At 44.9% G+C, this 19,988-nt stretch overlaps 1 protein-coding gene across 5 annotated transcripts in view; it reads left to right on the top strand.

Moving 5' to 3' along the window:
• JAZF1 (JAZF zinc finger 1) overlaps nucleotides 1-19,988 on the top strand; it is a 350,219-nt gene that overhangs the window by 321,822 nt on the left and 8,409 nt on the right. For 4 of the 5 annotated variants that reach the window (NM_175061.4, XM_047420026.1, XM_047420025.1 and 1 more), the window contains one exon: nucleotides 18,107-18,276. In NM_175061.4, the coding sequence (NP_778231.2) occupies nucleotides 18,107-18,276 (170 nt within the window). Of the gene's footprint in view, nucleotides 1-12,426; nucleotides 14,410-18,106; nucleotides 18,277-19,988 lie in introns of those variants that run through there. The other variant, XM_047420024.1, reaches the window with a different exon arrangement.

The following is a 19,988-nucleotide window of genomic DNA, read 5'->3' as shown; positions in this document are numbered from 1 at the left end:
GATTGCAAAAATTTTCTCCCATTCTGTAGGTTTCCTGTTCACTCTGATGATAGTTTCTTTTGCTGTGCAAAGCTCTTTAGTTTAATTAGATCCCATTTGTCTATTTTGGCTTTTGTTGCCATTGCTTTTGGTGTTTTAGTCATGAAGTCTTTTCCCATGCCTATGTCCTGAATGGTATTGCCTAGGTTTTCTTCTAGGGTTTTTATGGTTTTATGTTTTATGTTTAAGTCTTTAATCCATGTTCAGTTAATTTTTGTATAAGGTGTAAGAAGGGGTCCAGTTTCAGTTTTCTGCATATGGCTAGCCAGTTTTCCCAACAGCATTTATTAAATAGGGAATCCTTTCCCCATTGCTTATTTTTATCAGGTTTGTCAAAGATCAGATGGTTGTAGATGTGTGGCATTATTTCTGAGGCCTCTGTTCTTTCCACTGGTCTATATATCTGTTTTGGCATCCGTACCATGCTGTTTTGGTTACTGTACCCTTGTAGTATAGTTTGAAGTCAGGTAGGATGATGCCTCCAGCTTTGTTCTTTTTGCTTAGGATTGTCTTGGCTATATGGGCCCTTTTTTGGTTCCATATGAAATTTAAAGTAGTTTTTTCTAATTATGTGAAGAAAGTCAATGGTAGCTTGATGAGGATAGCATTGAATCTGTAAATTAGTTTGTGCAGTATGGCCATTTTCACGATATTGATTCTTCCTATCCATGAGCATGGAATGTTTTTCCATTTGTTTGTGTCCTCTCCTATTTCCTTGACCAGTGGTTTATAGTTGTCCTTGAAGAGGTCTTTCACATCCCTTGTAAGTTTTATTCCTAGGTATTTTATTATCTTAGTAGCAATTGTGAGTGGGATTTGGCTGTTTGTCTATTATTGGTGTATAGGAATGCTTGTGATTTTTGCACATTTATTTTGCATCCTGAGACTTTGCTGAAGTTGCTTATCAGCTTAAGGAGATTTTGGGCCGAGACATTGGGGTTTTCTAAATATACAATCATGTCATCTTCAAACAGAGACAATTTGACTTCCTCTCTTCCTATTTGAATACCCTTTACTTGTTTCTCTTGCCTGATTGCCCTGGCCGGAACTTCCAATTGTATGTTGAATAGGAGTGGTGAGACCTTGAGGGCATCCTTGTTTTGTGCCTGTTTTCAAAGGGAATTCTTCCAGCTTTTGCCCATTCAGTATGATATTGGCTGTGGGTTTGTCATAAATAGCTCTTATTATTTTGAGAGATGATCCGTCAATACCTAGTTTATTGAGAGTTTTTAGCATGAATGGATGTTGAATTTTGTCAAAGTCCTTTTCTGCATCTATTGAGATAATCATGTGGTTTTTGTCATTGGTTCTGTTTATGTGATGGATTATGTTTATTGATTTGCATATGTTGAACCAGCCTTGTGAGAGGTGACAGCATGCTGGCAGCCCTCGCAGCCCTAGCTCGCTCTCGGCGCCTCCTCAGCCTTGGCGCCCACTCTGGCCGCGCTTGAGTCCTTCAGCCTGCCGCTGCACTGTTTGAGCCCCTTTCTGGGCTGGCCAAGGCCAGAGCCAGCTTCCTCAGCTTGTGGGGAGGTGTGGAGGGAGAGGCGCAGGTGGGAACCGGGGCTGTGGGCGGCACTTGCAGGCCAGCACGAGTTCCGGGTGGGCGTGGGCTCGGCGGTCCCCGCACTCGGAGCGGCCAGCCAGCCCGCAAGCCCCAGGCAGTGAGGGGCTTGGCACCTGGGCCAGCAGCTGCTGTGCTTGACTTCTCACCGGGCCTTAGCTACCTCCCTGCAGAACAGGGCTCGGGACCTGCAGCCCACCATGCCTGAGCCTCCCCCCGCCCCCATGGGCTCCTGCGCGGCCCAAGCCTCCCCGACGAGCGCCGCCCCCTGCTCCACGGCGCCCAGTTCCATCAACCACCCAAGGGCTGAGGAGTGCAGGCACACGGCGCGGGACTGGCAGGCAGCTCCACCTGCGGCCCTGGTGCAGGATCCACTGGGTGAAGCCAGCTGGGCTCCTGAGTCTGGTGGAGACTTGGAGAATCTTTATGTCTAGCTAAGGGATTGTAAATACACCAGTCAGCACTTTGTCTCTAGCTCAAGGTTTGTAAACACAATCAGCACCTGTGTCTAGCTCAGGGTTTGTGAATGCACCAATCAGCACTCTCTATCTAGTTACTCTGGTGGGGACTTGGAGAACCTTCATGTCTAGCTAAGGGATTGTGAATGCACCAATTGGCACTCTGTATCTAGCTGAAGGTTTGTAAATGCACCAATCAGCACTCTGTGTCTAGCTCAGGGTTTGTAAATACACCAATCGACACTCTGTATCTAGCTAATCTGGTGGGGACATGGAGAACTTTTGTGTCTAGCTAAGGGATTGTAAACGCACCAATCAGCACCCTGTCAAAATGGACCAATCAGCTCTCTGTAAAACAGACCAATCAGCTCTCTGTAAAATGGACCAATCAGCAGGATGTGGGTGGGGCCAGATAAGAGAATAAAAGCAGGCTGCCTGAATCAGCAGTGGCAACCCGCTCAGGTCCCTTTCCACAGTGTGGAAACTTTGTTCTTTCGCTCTTTGCAATAACTCTTGCTGCTGCTCACTCTTTGGGTCCACACTGCCTTTATGAGCTGTAACACTCACTGTGAAAGCCTGCAGCTTCACTCTTGAAGCCAGCAAGACAACGAACCCACCGGGAGGAACAAACAATTGCAGATGTGCCGCCTTAAGAGCTGTAACGCTCACCGCGAAGGTCTGCAGCTTCACTCCTGAGCCAGCGAGACCACGAACCCCCCAGAAGGAAGAAACTCTGAACACATCCAAACATCAGAAGGAACAAACTCCGGACACACCACGTTTAAGAACTGTAACACACACCACGAGGGTCCGCAGCTTCATTCTTGAAGTCAGTGAGACCAAGAACCCACCAATTCCGGACACACTTGCATCCCAGGGATGAAGCCAACTCGATGGTGGTGGATAAGCTTTTTGATGTGCTGCTGGATTCGGTTTGCCAGTATTTTATTGAGGATTTTGGCATCGATGTTCAACAGGGACGTTGGCCTGAAATTTTCTTTTTTTGTTGTGTCTCTGCTGGTTTTTGGTATCAGGATGATGCTGGCCTCATAAAATGAGTTAGGGAGGAGTCCCTCTTTTTCTATTGTTTGGAATCATTTCAGAAGGAATGGTACCAGATCCTCTTTGTACCTGTGGTAGAATTCAGCTGTGAATCCATCTGGTCCTGGGCTTCTTTTGGTTGGTAGGCTATTAATTACTCTCTCAATTTCAGAACTTGTTATTGGTCTGTTCTGGGATTCGACTTCTTCCTGGTTTAGTCTTGGAAGGGTGTATGTGTCCAAGAATTTATCCATTTCTTCTAGATTTTCTAGTTTATTTACATAGAAGTGTTTGTAGTATAATCTGATGGTAGTTTGTATTTCTGTGGAATCAGTGGTGATATCCTCTTTATCATTTTTTATTGTGTCTATTTGATTCTTCTCTCTTTTCTTATTAGTTTGGCTAGCGATCTATTTTTTAATTTTTTCAAAAAACCAGCTCCTGGATTCATTGATTTTTTTGAAGGGTTTTTTGTGTCTCTATCTCCTTCAGTTCTGCTCTTAGTTATTTCTTGTCTTCTGCTAGCTTTTGAATGTGTTTGCTTTTGCTTCTGTAGTTCTTCTAATTGTGATGTTAGGGTGTCACTTTCAGATCTTTCCTGCTTTCTCTTGTGGGCATTTAGTGCTATAAATTTCCCTCTACACACTGCTTTAGCTGTGTGCCAGAGATTCTGATACATTGTGTGTCTTTGTTCTCATTGACACAAGTATCAATAGCTGAATCGATCAAGCAGAAGAAAGGATGTCAGGGATTGAAGATCAACTTAATGAAATAAAGCATGAAGACAAAATTAGAGAAAAGAGAATGAAAAGGAACAAACAAAGCCTCCCAGAAATATGGGACTATGTGAAATGACCGAACCTATGTTTGATTGGTGTACCTGAAAGTGAAGTGGGGAATGGAACCAAGTTGTAAAACACTCTTCAGGATATTTTCCAGGAGGACTTCCCCAACCTAGCAAGACAGGCCAACATTCAAATTCAGGAAATACAGAGAATACTACAAAGATACTCCTTGAGAAAAGCAACCCCAAGACACATAATTGTCAGATTCACCAAGGTTGAAAGAAATGTTAAAGGCAGACAGAGAGAAAGGTCAGGTTACCCACAAAGGGAAGCCCATCAGACTAACAGCAGATCTCTCTGCAGAAACCATACAAGCCAGAAGAGAGTGGGGGCCGATATTCAACATTCTTAAAGAAAGGAATTTTCAGCCCAGAATTTCATATCCAGCCAAACTAAGCTTCATAAGCAAAGGAGAAATAACATCCTTTACAGAGAAGCAAATGCTGAGAGATTTTGTCACCACCAGGCCTGCCTTACAAGAGCTCTTGAAGGAAGCACTAAATACAGGAAGGAAAAACTATTACCAGCCACTGCAAAAAAATACCAAATTGTAAAGACCATAGATACTATGAAGAAGCTACATCAACTAACAAGCAAAATAACCAGCTATCATCATAATGACAGGATCAAATTCATACATAACAATATTAACCTTAAATGCAAACAGGCTGAATGCCCCAATTAAAAGACACAGACTAGCAAATTGGATAAAGAGTCAAGACTCATTGGTGTACTGTATTCGGGAGACCCATCTCGTGCAAAAACACACATAGGCTCAAAATAAAGGGATGGAAGAATATTTACCAAACAAATGGAAAGTAAAGAAAAGCAGGGGTTGGAATCCTAGTCTCTGGTAAAACAGACTTTAAACCAGCAAAGATCAAAAAAGACAAAGAAGGGCATTACATAATGGTAAAGGGATCCATGCAACAAGAAGAGCTAACTATCCTAAATATATACGCACCCAAAACAGGAGCATGCAGATTCATAAAGCAAATTCTTAGAGACCTACAAAGAGTCTTAGACTCCCACACAACAATAGTGGGAGACTTTAACACTCCACTGTCAATATTAGATCAACAAGACAGAAAATTAACAAGGATATTCAGGACTTGAACTCAGCTCTGGACCAAGTGGACCTAATAGACATCTACAGAACTCTTCACCCCAAATCAACAGAATATACATTCTTCTCAGCACCTCATCAAACTTATTCTAAAATTGACCACATAATTGGTAGTAAAATACTGCTCAGCAAATGCAAACGAACAGAAATCACAACAAACTGTCTCTCACACCACAGTGCAATCAAATTAGAACTCAGGTTAAGAAACTCACTCAAAACTGTACAACTACATGGAAACTGAACAACCTGCTCCTGAATGACTACTGGGTAAATAATGAAATGAAGGCAGAAATAAATAATTTCTTTGAAACCAATGAGTATCCACTCATTTTCTAACCCGCTTATTTCAGTTCAGGGTCTCAGGTAGCAAGAGCCTGTCGTGGCAGCTCAGGGCACAAGGCAAGAACCAACTCTGGACAGGACACCCTCCCGTCGCAGGGCCACCCACACGCTCACTCAGATAGGATCATGCAGACACACCAGTGAACCTCACGTGCACAGCCCTGGATGTGGGAAGAAACCAGAGGACCCTGAGAAAATCCACACAGATGAGGGGAGAACCAGCAGACTCCACATACACAATGGCCCCTACTGGGAATCAGTTTTTCTCATCAATGTTCCAACAAAACAACATTGAACAAAAACCTGCTGTAATATAATGAAATTCTTCTGGGAGGAGGGAAGGTGCAGAAAGAGGGTTGGGAGGATGTAAAAGATCAAAACTCTTATCTTCCATAGTAGGAAATCAGTAGATACCCCAAAACTGACACCAAAAACCAGCAGAAGTACATTATTTAGAAATGGGGAGGTAAATGCCACGTCAAAGACTGGGAAGGCGTCACCGCAGGGAGGGACAGGACAGGGCACTCCTGTGGTTCATGGCAAGCCTCATAGCCCTATCTGACTTCTTACTGCATGCAATTATAACTTTGATTAAAGAGAAGAAAATTTAAATTAAAAAATAGTAATGGGGATTACCAAAAGAGCCAGGAGGCCACCTAATGGGGCTTCCATCGACCAAGGTGTGGTAATTTGAGCATCACAGAGTAGGATAATGACTGGTAATTAATTGAATCTTTGAAAATAAGTGAGTCCAAAATGCTACTCAAAATGGGGAAGATAGTATAAAGTGTGCCCAAACAGTAGCTATAATATCAGAACAGGTGAAATGTGTTCTGTAAAGTAGATTGCTGTTTATAAAATATAGATATTTTCTCCATCTCGTTTAGCAGATAGGCAGGGACTTGTGAGTGACCCCACAGTTCTAGAAAAAGTAGGGCCTGGGGCAAGAGTAGGAAAGACTGGCCAACACTGTGTTGGTCACAAACAGGTAGAAAGAGGACCTGAGAGAGGGTTGCAAGATGGGAGAATGGCCGTGTGCCCTGAGAAAAGGGCTGGCCACACTGAGGGAGTTGCAACCTCAAATGACCCTAGTAATTAGACTGAAGGCATCAAAGTGGCAAAAATGGCCAGGTGCAGTGGCTCATGCCTGTAATTCCAGCACTTTCGGAGGCTGAGGTGAGCAGATCACCTGAGGTCAAGAGTTCATGACCAGCCTGGCCAACGTGGTAAAACCCCATCTCTACTAAAAATACAAAAAAATTAGCCAGGTGTTGGGGCGCACGTCTGTAATCCCAGCTACTCAAGAGGCTGAGGCAGGAGAATCAGTTGAACCTGGGAGGTGGAGGTTGCAGTGAGCTCAGATCGCTCCACTGCACTCCAGCCTGGGCGACAGAGTGAGATTCCATCTCAAAGAAAAAAAAAAAAAAAGTCCTGTTTATTGAGCAAGCAAACGTTGGTCAAAAAACCTAGGAGTCTAGGCAAGGAAACACAGGCTCACTTTTGAATCATCTTGTACTGACTGCATACTGACCAAGCATCAGTGTGGGTCCATAACTCAGAACCCCCAGGCATCAGTGTGGGTCCATAACTCAGAACCCCCAGGCATCAGTGTGGGTCCATAACTCAGAACCCCCAGGCATCAGTGTGGGTCCATAACTCAGAACACACACCCTCCACTGGCCCGAGGTCAGTTCCTCTGTCTTTTAGGTCTCACCAGATTCTTGTGACCCAGGAAGGTCAAAGCTAATATGGAAATTATGAAAAAATAATTCAGCTCTTTAGAACCAACTGTGTAATAGGCTAAATTTAGGCTTGGTAGTCATTGTGATCATTGGTGTGATTCGTTTTTTGGTTTGCATTTTTTTGTTTTTTAGGAGACAAGGTCTTGCCTTGTCGGAGTACAGTGGTGCCATCACCACTCACTGCAGCCTCGACCTCCTGGGCTCAAGTGATCTTCCCGAACTTATCACAGGGTTCTATCCTGGTTTTGCTCATTTCCTGCCTCAGCCTCCTGAGTAGCTGGGACAACAGGTGTGTACCACCACACCCAGCTAATTTTTTAATTTTTATTTGATAGAGATGGGGTGCCACTACATTGCCCAGGCTGGTTTCAAACTTCTGCCTTCAAATGATCCTCCCACCTCAGCCTCCCAAAGTGTGTGTGAACAGGTGTGAACCACCATGCCCAGCCTTGATGTGTGTATTTTTAAGATCTTTTAAAACTTACATAGTAAAGTTGGCATGATTTTGTTGAAATATGTCAAATTTGAGTGTGTTTGTAATCAATATTTAAATGTATTAGAACATTTTATTTTAGGCTGGGCTTGGTGGCTCACGCCTGTAATCCCAACACTTTGGGAGGCCGAGGCGGGTGGATCACCTAAGGTTAGGGGTTCAAGACCAGCCTGACCAACATGGTGAAACCCTGTCTCTACTAAAAATACAAAAACTAGCCAGGCGTGGTGGCCGGTGCCTGTAATCCCAGCTACTCAGGAGGCTTAGGCAGGAGAATCATTTGAACCCGGGAGGTGGAAGTTGCAGTGAGCCAAGATCGTGCCATTGCACTCCAGTCTGGGCAACAAGAGTGAAACTCCATCTCAAAAAAAAAATTATTTTAAAAATTCATTCCGATGTATTATTATTTAATACTATCTAAAGATTTATAAATGTTTGTTAGATTTATAGTTGTAAAAGTTTATCATTAAACCAAGTACAAATAGTTCTTAAGTAAAAAAAAAAAAAAAATGGTCCTTCAGAGCTGAAAGATGGCTTGATAAAGAAACCTTGATAAAGAAAAAGGTCATGATGAGGCCCAGGGCTGCTCTTTGCTGTGAGAAGCCACTAGAGGGTTTAAGCAGGCAAGTGAAATAACGTAATTTTTTAAAAAAGATTAGAGGGAGTCAAGAGTTGAAGCTGTGTTATCTTGGGTCCTCCTTCCCGTCTGAACTCGATTCACTCATTCGTTCATTCAACAAACATGTCCAGTGGCTCCTTGTGGTTCCAGCAGTGTCCTGGGAACTGTCAGGTAATCACAAATAATGACCAAGAACTCCAAATACCAGAGATGAATCCAACACCGGGCTGGCAATTCATTAGAAAGTGTGTAAAGTCCTATGGAAGTATTACTTCTGGCTTGGAGAACCAGAACCAATTCCATAGTTAAGGAGGAGACAGGGGAGAATGACATTCCAGTAATGAGCTAAGGCCCAGGAACAAAGAGGTCAAGAATTTTCCAGGCATGGCCCGTGGTCCCAGAGCCATTAATGTGTCTTTCATTGTAATCACTCGTTGCCAATTCATTTAGACTTGTTGCTTCAGCTCCTATAAAGTGGGTCAGTACCAATTAAAGCTAATTTATAATGATAAATCTATAAGGCAGAAAGGCAACTCTTTGCTAATGTATTTGCCAGAATTTGATACCCCAGGAAAGTTTTAATTTGCTGTCACTGCAGTTATCACTTTTACATGAATATTAATGATATACATTATAAGAAAAATGTGGCATATTGGGTTTCTGGAAAAGGTTGACTTTTATCTGTATGTCAGTGTTTTATGTTTATGACTATGAAGAATGAGAACTCTTTAGGTAGTAAAACAGAATTGGGCCATCTCCACGGGTAAGGGGTCAGCAAAGGGAACTGCGGGCAGAGGTTCGAGGAGAGTGGGCAAGATTGGAAATCTTCTTGTGGCCAGTGAGAGAGCAAACGTGGCAGAAGCACCCGGCGGGGCCCCTGGATGGCGATGTGGGCTCCGTGTAGGTGGGCGGCCGGGAAGAGGTGTAGGGGTGTGTGTGTGTGTGTGTGTGTCTGTGTGTAAGGGTTCCAATATTGATTCATGAAACTGACAGTGATTTTTACCTCCTTTGCCAACAACCAGTAGAAGCTCCCCAGCCATCCTGTGGAATATATTTGTTTTATCACAGGGTCCTACCTTCGTTTTGCTCATTTCCCCAACTGAAATGCTGAAATGAGCTCTTGAGGCCCCTTTCGGCTGCTGTCCTGCCTGCCCCAGGTTCCCACCACAGTGGTTATGAAACCATGGAGTATGAAAATAGAAAACTCAACCCAAGAAAGATGAGTGGCAGCCAATTTTTATATGTGACAGTGTCAGGTTAAATTACGTTTTCTTGCAGAAACTCTAACATTAGCGAACACCATTTTAAAATTGATTAATCATATCTGAGACTACAGAGAGCCTTACAAAGGCAGCCCTTGTCCCTTGCCTTTGGAAGACTGGACCACAGCCACCTGGGTGGCAGGGTCCCATCACTGGCTGTCACGAGGCTTAGCCTGCTGCCCCCACCTGCTCACACACTGAACGTCACGTGTGGTTTTGAGCGACTCCATGCGTTGTGTTCGTTTTCCTCTCCCTGCAGCCCGTCTCCAGGGCCTTGCTTTGTCGCGTCTCTGTTCTCCCCGTCACACAGGGGATATTCAATTTAAAAATAAATCAAAGGAACACAAATTTTGAAACCAAAGACCTGATGGGCCTGTTGCTAGCCAGGTGACCTGTGGCACATCCCTTACCCTCCCACACCCCAGCTTTCCCCTCTGATCAGTTGGGGAGACAAAGGCTGGTGATGTGGAAAGCACCTCTCCTAGGGCCAGGTTCATAGGTGGCACCTCCAGCCTAAATGGCAAAGATGTTTCTCTGGTTAAATGCACATGTAAAACAAAATTTGCCCATTCTTAGGCAGCTAGAATTTTTACTAAAATAAAAAATCAAGTAAGCACAGGTAGGTTTGGGTATAAAGACAAGTGCCAGAATTTAAGGAGCTAATAGCTTAGAGCAAAAGGAGGCCAAATCAAAAAACAGGCATTTTGGCTGCCATGACATGTACACATTCCTACAATCTGCCCATTTGTTCATTAAAAAATAATAGGGCCTCAAAACCGTGGCACTTCAATCAGAGCATCAGCAGAAACAATTAACCATCCCAATAAAAGGGATTGCTGGGCTGACTCTCCACCCTACTGTCGCACTCACCCAGTGTCACAGCCGGTGGATCCTTTGTGTCCTTAAACCTTGTGTCCTTTTGAAAGGTAGATCTCTGAGCGCATTCTCCTCTGATAGAGAATGGTTTCATCAAAGTTACAAATCTAATCCAACTGATTTTTGTTTTTAAGTACAGAGGAAGATGAATTCAGTAAGGTTGCAGGATACGTTATCAATATACAAAAATCAGTAGCATGTCCATACACAAATAACAACCTAGCTGAAAAAGAAATCAAGACAACAATCCCATTTATGATCACATCAAAAAAAGGAATAAATTTAATGAGGAGGTGAAAGATTTGTACACTGACAACTAAAACATTGATGAAGGAAATTGAAGAAGACACAAATAAATGAAAAATATCCCTTGCTCATGGATCAGAAGAATGAATGTTCTTAAAATGTCCACACTACCCAAAGTGACATATGGAATCAGTGCAATCCCTATCAGAATCCTAATGGCATCCTTCACGGAAACAGTAAAAACAATCCTTAAACTGATGTAGAACCACAAAGACCCTAAATAACCAAAGTGATCCTAAGAAAGAAAAAGTAAAGTTGGAGGCATCACAGTTCCTGCTTTAAAATTATATTATAGGCTGGGCACGGTGGCTCATGCTGTAATCCCAGGACTTTGGGAGGCTGAGACGGGCGGATCACCTGAGGTCAGGAGTTCGAGACCACCCTGGCCAACATAGCAAAACCCTGTCTCCACAAAAAATACAAAAATTAGCTGGGCATGGTGGCTGGTGCCTGTAATCCCAGCTACTCAAGAGGTTGAGGCAGGAGAGTCACTCGAACCTACGAGGCGGAGGTTGCAGTGAACTGAGATTACACCACTGCATTCCAGCCTGGGCGACAGTGCAAGACTCCATCTCAGAATAAAAATTATAAAGCAAAGATAATCAAAACAGTATGGTACTGTGATGAAATCAGCCACATAGACCAGTGGAACAGAAGAGAGAGCCCACATGTATTCAACTGCTTTTTGACGAGGGCACAGAGGGAACACAATGGGGAAAGGATAGTCTCTTCAGTAATTGGTGCTGGGACAACTGGGTTTCTACATAGACTCGAATGAAATTGGTCCCTTATCTTATACCATACACACAAATCAACTCCAAATGGATATAAGATCTGAAGCCGTAAAACTCTTAGAGAACAGGAGAATGTGGGGGAGAAAGCAACTTGACATTAGCCTTGTCAATGAATTTTTTGGATATCACACCTGAAGTTCAGTCTACAAAAACAAAAATAAATAAACGAGACTGCATAGCTGGGCATGGTGGTTCATGCCTGTAATCCCAGCACTGTGGGATGCTGAGGTGGGTGGATCACCTGAGGTCGGGAGTTCGAGACCAGCCTGACCAACATGGAGAAACCCCGTCTCTACTAAAAAAAAAAAAAAAAAAGAAAAAAAGCCAGGCGGGGTGGTGCATGCCTGTGGTGGTACATGCCTATAATCCCAGCTACTTGGGAGGCAGGAAAATCGCTTGAACCCAGGAGGTGGAGGTTGTGGTGAGCCGAGATCGTGCCATTGCACTCCAGCCTGGGCAACAAGAGTGAAACTCCATCTCAAAAAAATAAAAATAAAAACAGATAAGGCTACATCAAACTAAAAAGCTTCTGCACAGCAAAGGAAACAATAAGATGAAATAGCAATCTATGGATTAGGGAAAATATTTGCAAACCATATATCTGATAAGGGGTTAACAGCCAAAATTTACAAAGTACTCATACAACTCAATAGCAGAAAAACAAATAACTTGATTAAAAAATGGGCAAAGGACCTGGATAGGCATTTTTCCAAAGAAACCATAAAAATGGCCAACAGGATATGAAAAGGTGCGCATCACTAAGCATCAGAGAAATGCAATCAAAACCACCATGAGCTAGCACTTAAAAGAGCACACCCATTCAGACAGCTCTGATCAAAAAGACAAGTAATAACAAGTGTTAGCAAAATAGAGCTAACCATATGACCCAACAATCCCTCTTCTGGTTATATACCTACAGAAAATGAGATCATCACCCCAGGAAGATGTCTGCACTCTCATGTTCTCCCAGCATTACAGCAGACAAGAATTGGAAACAACCAACTTGTCCATCGGTGGATGAATGCACCAAGAATCTGTGTGTATATATGTATATATATACATGTATACGTATATGTATATATACGTACATGTACGTATACATATGTACACGTATACGTGTATATATACGTGTACATATGTATACACACACACACAATGGAATACTATTCAGCCTTACAAAAAGGAGATCCTACTATTTGCCACAACATGGATGAGCCTGAAGGACATTATGCTAAGTGAAATAAGCCAGACACAGAAAAATAGTACATGATCTCACTTATATGTGGAAAATGTCAAATATACAGAGATAGGGAATAAAACAGTGGTTGTGGGGTGGAGGGAAGAAATGGGGAGATGTAGCTTAGAAGTTATGAAGTAGTAGGTACGTAGGATGAACAAAGCTAGAGAGCTTTGTGGTAGTGGTGAGAAAGCTTTCCTCTGGACCCCCAAGCAGGAACGTATGGGGAGGGGTGGTTGGCACATAACGGGTTTTTTCTGTTTTGTTTTTTAGCACCTTGTCCCTTTCCCTTGAAGCATCCTGCGATTTAGGGCTGGAAAGGGTGGGGTAGAGGAGAGAGGGAGAAGAGAGGGAATGTGAATGGGTGCAGGCCACGGTGTGATCTTTTCCTGCTTAGAATCCTGCATGAGGTAGACCTGGAGAAGGGAAGCCCCCATGAAAAGGCTGCAGACCGCTGTGTGACTGTGGGCCAGTCACTTAACATTTTTTTAAAATTTCTTTTTCTTTTTCTTTTCTTTTTTTTTTTTTTTTTTGAGGCAGAGTCTCGCCCTATTGCCCAGGCTGGAGTGCAATGGCGCCATCTTGGCTCACTGCAACCTCTGCCTCCCGGGTTCAAGCGATTCTCCTGCCTCAGCCTCCTGAGTAGCTGGGATTACAGGCTCGTGCCTCCACGTTCAGCTAATTTTTGTATTTTTAGTAGAGACGGGGTTTCACCATGTTGGCCAGGCTGGTCTCAAACTCCTGACCTCGTGATCCACCCGCCTCGGCCTCCCAAAGTGCTGGGATTACAGGCGTGAGCCACTGCGCCCAGCCCTAGTCACTAACTTCTGAGACACCAAGATGAGCGTGGGATTCAGTGGTCTGCATTGTTCATTCTGAAGTGAGTTGCAACATTCTGACCCCCCAGTCCAGAGTTCCCCAGCAGAGCTTGCTAAGAGGGTGGCGTTGAGGACATCTGCCAGTGTCTCCACAGATGCCCACTCTGGGCCCCAAAGGGGTAGATTCTTTCTGTGACTCTCACACTGCAAAGACCTGTCCTGCCCCAACTGCTTATAACTATATATACACATAGTTGTTTTTTCCCCTCTCTTTTACACAGAGGAAATACTTTATATATTTTGTTGTTGTTTCAAAAATTGTATGGAAATTAACATTTCTTGTCTCGGGATGGTGCGAGGCACAGAACAAGAACATCATTTCATTTCCTTATGATCTTCTGTCTCCTGGCGGGGCACCCGGCACCTCTCCTTTGGCTTATAGGGTGGAGTTTAGACAGGACCTAACGACCACCAACTCTACTTAATGACAGGTGTTGGGTAAAAGTTTGCCATGTGAATAAATGAATGTATTCATCCTTAAGGTCCCCTCATTTTCCCCTAGAGTAGCCCAGAGCCTCATTTCAACCTGATAGCCTCAGTGCAGACTGTGATGTGCCCCGTTGGAGCCCCAGCTGGCATGCAGGGCAGTGGGCTCAAAGTGAGGTGCGAGAAGGGGGTATTAATTCTTTGTACCTACTTATAAAAAATTTATTAAAACTATTCCTGTATTAAGATATTTATTCTTATTTTATCCCTACCCTTTTTGCTTCTTTGCATATGTGGTTTCTGCAATGATATATTAGTACATATTTGGCATTTATAATAAAAATATTCACACACATTCATAGTCGGGGCAGTGCTCGTGATTTTTATTAATTGAAGTGCAGGAGTAAAAGCTTGGGAGGGTGTTGCTAGGAGAAGCAGCTTTGCTACCTCCTGCTTTCCAGGAATGGGGAAGGAGTTCCCTAGCAAAGGTGTGGAGACTGCTGGGGATTTGTTCATTCTGCAGTGAGTGTTGAGAGATAGCAGCTGAAGCAGCAATTGAAGATGAATGAACGAGCTTGGGATTTATTTTCCTCTTGTGGGAAAACATGAGGAAATGGATAAAGCAGAGGACAGAGGCTGGCCCAGGGGCTTTGGTGACTTAGTTTTAGGGTATTTCTTTCTAGAGTTCCAAAATGTTTGAAAGGAGACTAACAGCGGTTGTGTTTTGGCCTCAAAAGTTTTCTGCAGGACACCCCACGCCCTGTCAGGGACGCGAATGGGTGCCAGCATCTGAGCGCCTGTGACTCGAGTCCCGCAGCCCCTACGCTGCCCACCGCAGGCCCTCTGGCTGCCGCCTGGTGCTGTGGACGCCTGGTTAATAAAAGGGGAGCATTTGGGGTACAGTAAGAAAAGCTGTAGTAGAACCCCAGCATGTTCCTCTGGTTTAAAAAGGGGACTGTTCTCAAGAGAGAGCAAGGCAACAGTAAATGAGATAAACAGCTCACATAGCATTTTGTTTATTTTCTTACCATGTGCTACTCTAAGGCCTACCATGGGCCAGGCATTTTGTCCAGAGTCCTAAAAACAGGAACTCAGTTATTCTTCACAACAGCCTTAGTGCACACAGGCGTTCGCCCATTTTACAGATGAGCAATTTGAAGCTCAGAGAGGTGGCGTCACTTGCCTGGGCTCACAGTGCTCTGAGCCCCAGCTGCGCTCCCTCCTGGCCTCTGTAGCCTCTTGGAGGTGGGGGCTGGAGTGTGCTTTGCTCCTTCTCTGAGCTTAAAGCAGATGGGGCCTGTCTGGTCCTGGAGTCTCTCTTGTGTTTTTTCTAGTAGGGATTCCCAACCCTTTTGGAATTATTTTGTTTGGTTTCACAACAGGCCTTTCTAAAGATCATCTTATTTTATATGGAATATGTAATATGATTACAAAGATGGCATTGCTTACACTGCCTTCCATGTTTTCAGTGCATACTCTATGGAGGTCCTCCTATCCCAGGTATTCTATACACACTCATTCTGATCTTTAAATTCAACCTGCAAGGAAGAGACTTGTGCCTGTTTCATGAAAGAGAAAATAAAAGCCAAGTGGCTTGTCCTTCACCTAACGAAAGCAAAGGCATGAACCCAGGTCTGTGTTGATGTTCTCTGTCAGAGGACAAAATTAAGTATATAAACAAAAGTCCATCTTGTCGCAACCGAGGGAGATGACTAGTTTCACCCAAGGACTTGGTGGTAAGCTGCTGCCGAGTGGTGTGTGTCCCACCTTGCCTGGGATAGTTCCAACTTACCACCTGTCGGCCTACACTACCTTTCCCTCTCAGAAGTGTTCCAACTTGCAGGGTAAGCTGTGTGTCCCCTTCCTGCCCTGCCTGGGGCTGGATACCACGTGCCTTCCCCCTGAGACGCAGACAGTGTAGGCTGCTTCAACGCCTCGGGCTGATCGCTTTTGATCCAGTGGAGTTTTGAAGTTTTCTCTTCTGTTGGGCTTCATTAATCCCCCAGTTGGTCTGAGGTGCCCCACCCTCCCCCCATTCTAAATGTTTCATGGCTCTTGGTATTCAGGTTAACAAATTAGCCCAATTAGATGGATAAATTAGTCTTTCTAACTTTCTGAAGTCCCGCTGGAGGAGCTTTGCGAAATAGCATTTATAGTTTTCTAACAAGCAAGTTAAAGGACGCCAGCATGTGGCATTTGTTTAAGAGTAAAATGTCTTAAACAATGCCCTACTTAAAAACAGATTTCAAGATTTGCTCCAGGACAGACCCCAAGCAACGTGGCCAAGTGGTACCACTGTGTCACTTGGTACAAGCGTTTCCAAACCGGCTCTCTTTATTTAGGGAGCTATGGCCAAGTACAGCAGAATTTATTGAAACCCACATTTAGCTCCAAAGCTTCATGTTTGCCAGATTGTTTTTTCTGCACCACCCGAGAATTTCTAACAGACTTCAAAACAGACTGCTTCGAATTCCATCTCAGTATTAAATGGTGAAGAGCCAGCAACTCAAAGGAGATTAAAAGGGAACCCCTCAGAAGAGCCTGGCACTGGGGGCTGGGAAGCAATGAGGGAAAAAGCACACCGTCCCTTAATGGTGAGTTCAGAACACATGCGCGTTTTAACCTCACGAGGGCTCAGTTGCTCGTGTGTATAACGGTGACAGTAATCCCCACCTCCTAGGGTTACTGGAGGATTAAATGAGATAATGCACAGAGTGTGCCTGAAACATCATAGGCACTGAGTAAACTTCAGGTCCCTTCCTTCCTTCCTGGCTCCTTTCAACTTTGAGCCTCAGATGCCGGCGTCCCTGTTCCTGGCGCAACTGGCTCTTCAAACAATCTTATTAATGCCTATTAAAATGAAACCCAATAAAAGTGCCAATATTTGGTGTTGAAATAATTGATGTAGCAGAGTAAGCCCCTGAAGCACCCAGGCAGGCCCCTGGTGCAATGTAGCCTCACACCTGGGGGATGAATTTCACAACTGTAATTGCTACCATATAATTCTTATTAATGTTGTGCTATAATTCCTATTTATTCCACGGGGCTTGTAAATGCATTAGGACTTGTCAACATATTATTTTACACTGTTTATGATCGGTAGAATTATGTCCTTCAGGGTTGTATTGTGCAAAAGCTCCAAATAAATGGCTTTGGGCCTCATTAAAAAAGAGCAAAAGAGGCTGCCTGTTGAAGTGGTTCTCCATCCCTGCCGTCTTGCAAAGAAGTCAGTAGAGTGTATTTCAATTCGATTCTCAGCAGAGCTCTTAGCCCTTAGGAATAAAAGAGAATCCCTGCTTCCTGTCTGAGCTGCGTAACTGTGATGGGTCAGCCCTAGCAGGAAGTGTCGCATGAGCTGAAGGGCAGATGCGGTGCCTAGTACTGCGTGTGTAGGGGATCGCTTCGTCTTCCAGGAGCTACCCCACATTCTGCCGCTGGCGATTTATCCTTAGACCTCCTGGCCTTCTATGCCTCTTGCTCCCTAGCGTGAGGGTAACCCTCTTTTAGTTCCAAATTTCCCAGCTCAAATCTATAAAGAAAAAGACCTGAAATTCATTCCACTGAAGTAGAAATGCCTTAAAAGTCCAAAACGTAACCCCCGACCTTGGAGACTTCTGCATTTACTAGGCCAGTAAAGCATAAAACTAAGGGGACAGTGTTCTGCTCATTTGGGAGTGTCAGGCACTAGCATGGGGAGTGTGAGGAGCCTGTCATCGTTGCTTATTTTTGGTTTTGGCCCCAGAGCAAGTCTTCCCTGTGCCTTTGCAGCCACAGGCTGGGTTGCCATAGAACCGAGTTAATGTTCTTGCTCCGCCAACTCCTAGCTGTGAATTGTTGGGAAGCCCTTGCCCTGGTCTCTTAGGTGGGAACGCAGGGCTCCTGCTTCCAGGGTTGTAAGGGAATAGCCGTGTTTGCAGTCCCCTGGTGCCGGGAGTGCCCTCTCCCTGGGCCGTCAGCGCTGCTCTGCCACGGCCACATCTCCTGTCCTGGAAGTGGCCGGGTGAACCTGTGGGGAGATGAGCGCTCCTGACAGTCCTTGCACTTCTCTTGTCCTGCAGGCAGCGAGTATGACGAGGAGGAGGTGGACTATGAGGAGTCGGACAGCGATGAGTCCTGGACCACAGAGAGTGCCATCAGCTCCGAAGCCATCCTCAGCTCCATGTGCATGAATGGAGGGGAAGAGAAGCCTTTTGCCTGCCCAGTTCCTGGATGTAAAAAGAGATACAAGGTAACAGAGGTGCTGCATGCTTGGCATAACCACATGGAAACAGGGCAAGCTTCATGGAAGGCAGCAGCCCTTTCTTGATTTTAAAGCGAGCGTATGGGCTGGGGGGAGACACTCCCCTCTCCTGCATTAGAGTGCGTGGGCCTCACCCCTGTGTGCACACAGGTGCCCTCAAGGAAGTGCTCACCCGCCACCGCTGCTGCCGGGGCTTTCCCCTCTGCTCACCTACGTGGGAGCCTGGCAGTCAAGAGAGAGCTTTTGTAGGAGGATCATGTCTTTGATAGTCTTCAAATTCATGTCATATTGGGGGACCCATCAGAACAGAATATCAAATATGTCAACCTACTTTATTTGCCAAGCACCTTCCCCAACGGATGGCCCTACAGATGGCTCACGGGAGACCACTTTGAAGTTGTAAAAGCCCCAGATGGCTCCCAGAGCCATTTGGTGAGTGTGGAGGGTATTTAGCTTCCAGCTGAGGAAGTTCTTGCTTCCTTCCACCCAGTGGCATGAAAGGGGATCAGGAGAAAAAAGGCCTTTGATATTTTTCTCACCAAACCATCCACTTCAGCTTCAGCTGCCTGTCTGCTGACCCAGGTCTCTGAGGGCCTGGGTGTCATGGGCAGCTGGGGGTGCTAACTTTTCTAATAAGGAACAGGGACAAAACAACGAGAAACAGCACAATAGTCAAGTATGGGTCTAGAGGGCATTTTAAAAAACAAAATTGCAAACTTCCCCATGAGGTGTTAGCAGCTCTTTCACATCCAACTGTGAGCTAGGAGTATAAAAATCAGAAACATACCTGGTATGCTTGATGATATGCTAATTCACTCATAGGCTAGCAGATTGACTATTTTTTAAAGCTTAAAAAAAAAGATAGCATAAGCACTTATATTGCCCCTTCTTAAATATGTGTCTCTGAACACTAATCTATTTCAGTACTTTTCATAGCAGCTATTGATATAAAAGCATGGCACACAAATGTATCACAAAGTTAGCATTTCTAGGTTTCACCTTCCCTAGGTACTGTTACAATTCCATCATGCAAAGTCCAGATGCTCATTGTTTAAACTGAAATGAACTCCCAGGATGCAGATGTGAGAAGCCTCTGAGGGCTGGCAGAGGAGCGCTGCATTTGGGTCAGAACAGGTCTCAGGACGCATCTGTACATTCTGTGTCAGAGGCGTGGAGTTGGGAGAGGAGGGAAGGGCTGCTCAGGGGTTACCTTGGGATACAAAACATCCACAGGATTGTTGGACAAGCCCATTTTTCCAGAGGGCAGCGCTTCATTGCAGAAAGAGACTTTTTCCTTCTTTCTTGATTTGTACAGATAAGGCTGTGACTGGCCACTGCCTGGGCTGGGGCTGGTTCCCACCGCGTCTCCCCCAGCTGTTCCTCCCCACCACTGCGGTCTTGCTGCCTGCTCTCCAGGGCCAAGCACCAGGCCGGGGGTGTCTTGCACCTCGGCCATGTTAAAAGCGGGAGCCAAGTAATGACCTGTACTCGGCTGACCCGCCAAAAAACAAAGGAAATACAAGCTACGCCCTGGGTTCTGGGCACAGGGTGCAGGGGAGGCATCCCCTCTCTCCCACCTCCAGCTCCATCCCCTTTTCTTACTCGCATCCTTTCCTCCTTGTCATTTCTGTTTTGTCTTTTACTTTTCCTTTGCTTGGGTTTCTGGCAGTTTCCCCCTTCCGTTCTCTGTGTCTGGGTTG

This window comes from Homo sapiens, chromosome 7 (assembly GCF_000001405.40).
Source record: "Homo sapiens chromosome 7, GRCh38.p14 Primary Assembly".
Taxonomy (NCBI): domain Eukaryota; kingdom Metazoa; phylum Chordata; class Mammalia; order Primates; family Hominidae; genus Homo; species Homo sapiens.
This window is presented reverse-complemented; position numbering and strand designations above follow the sequence as displayed.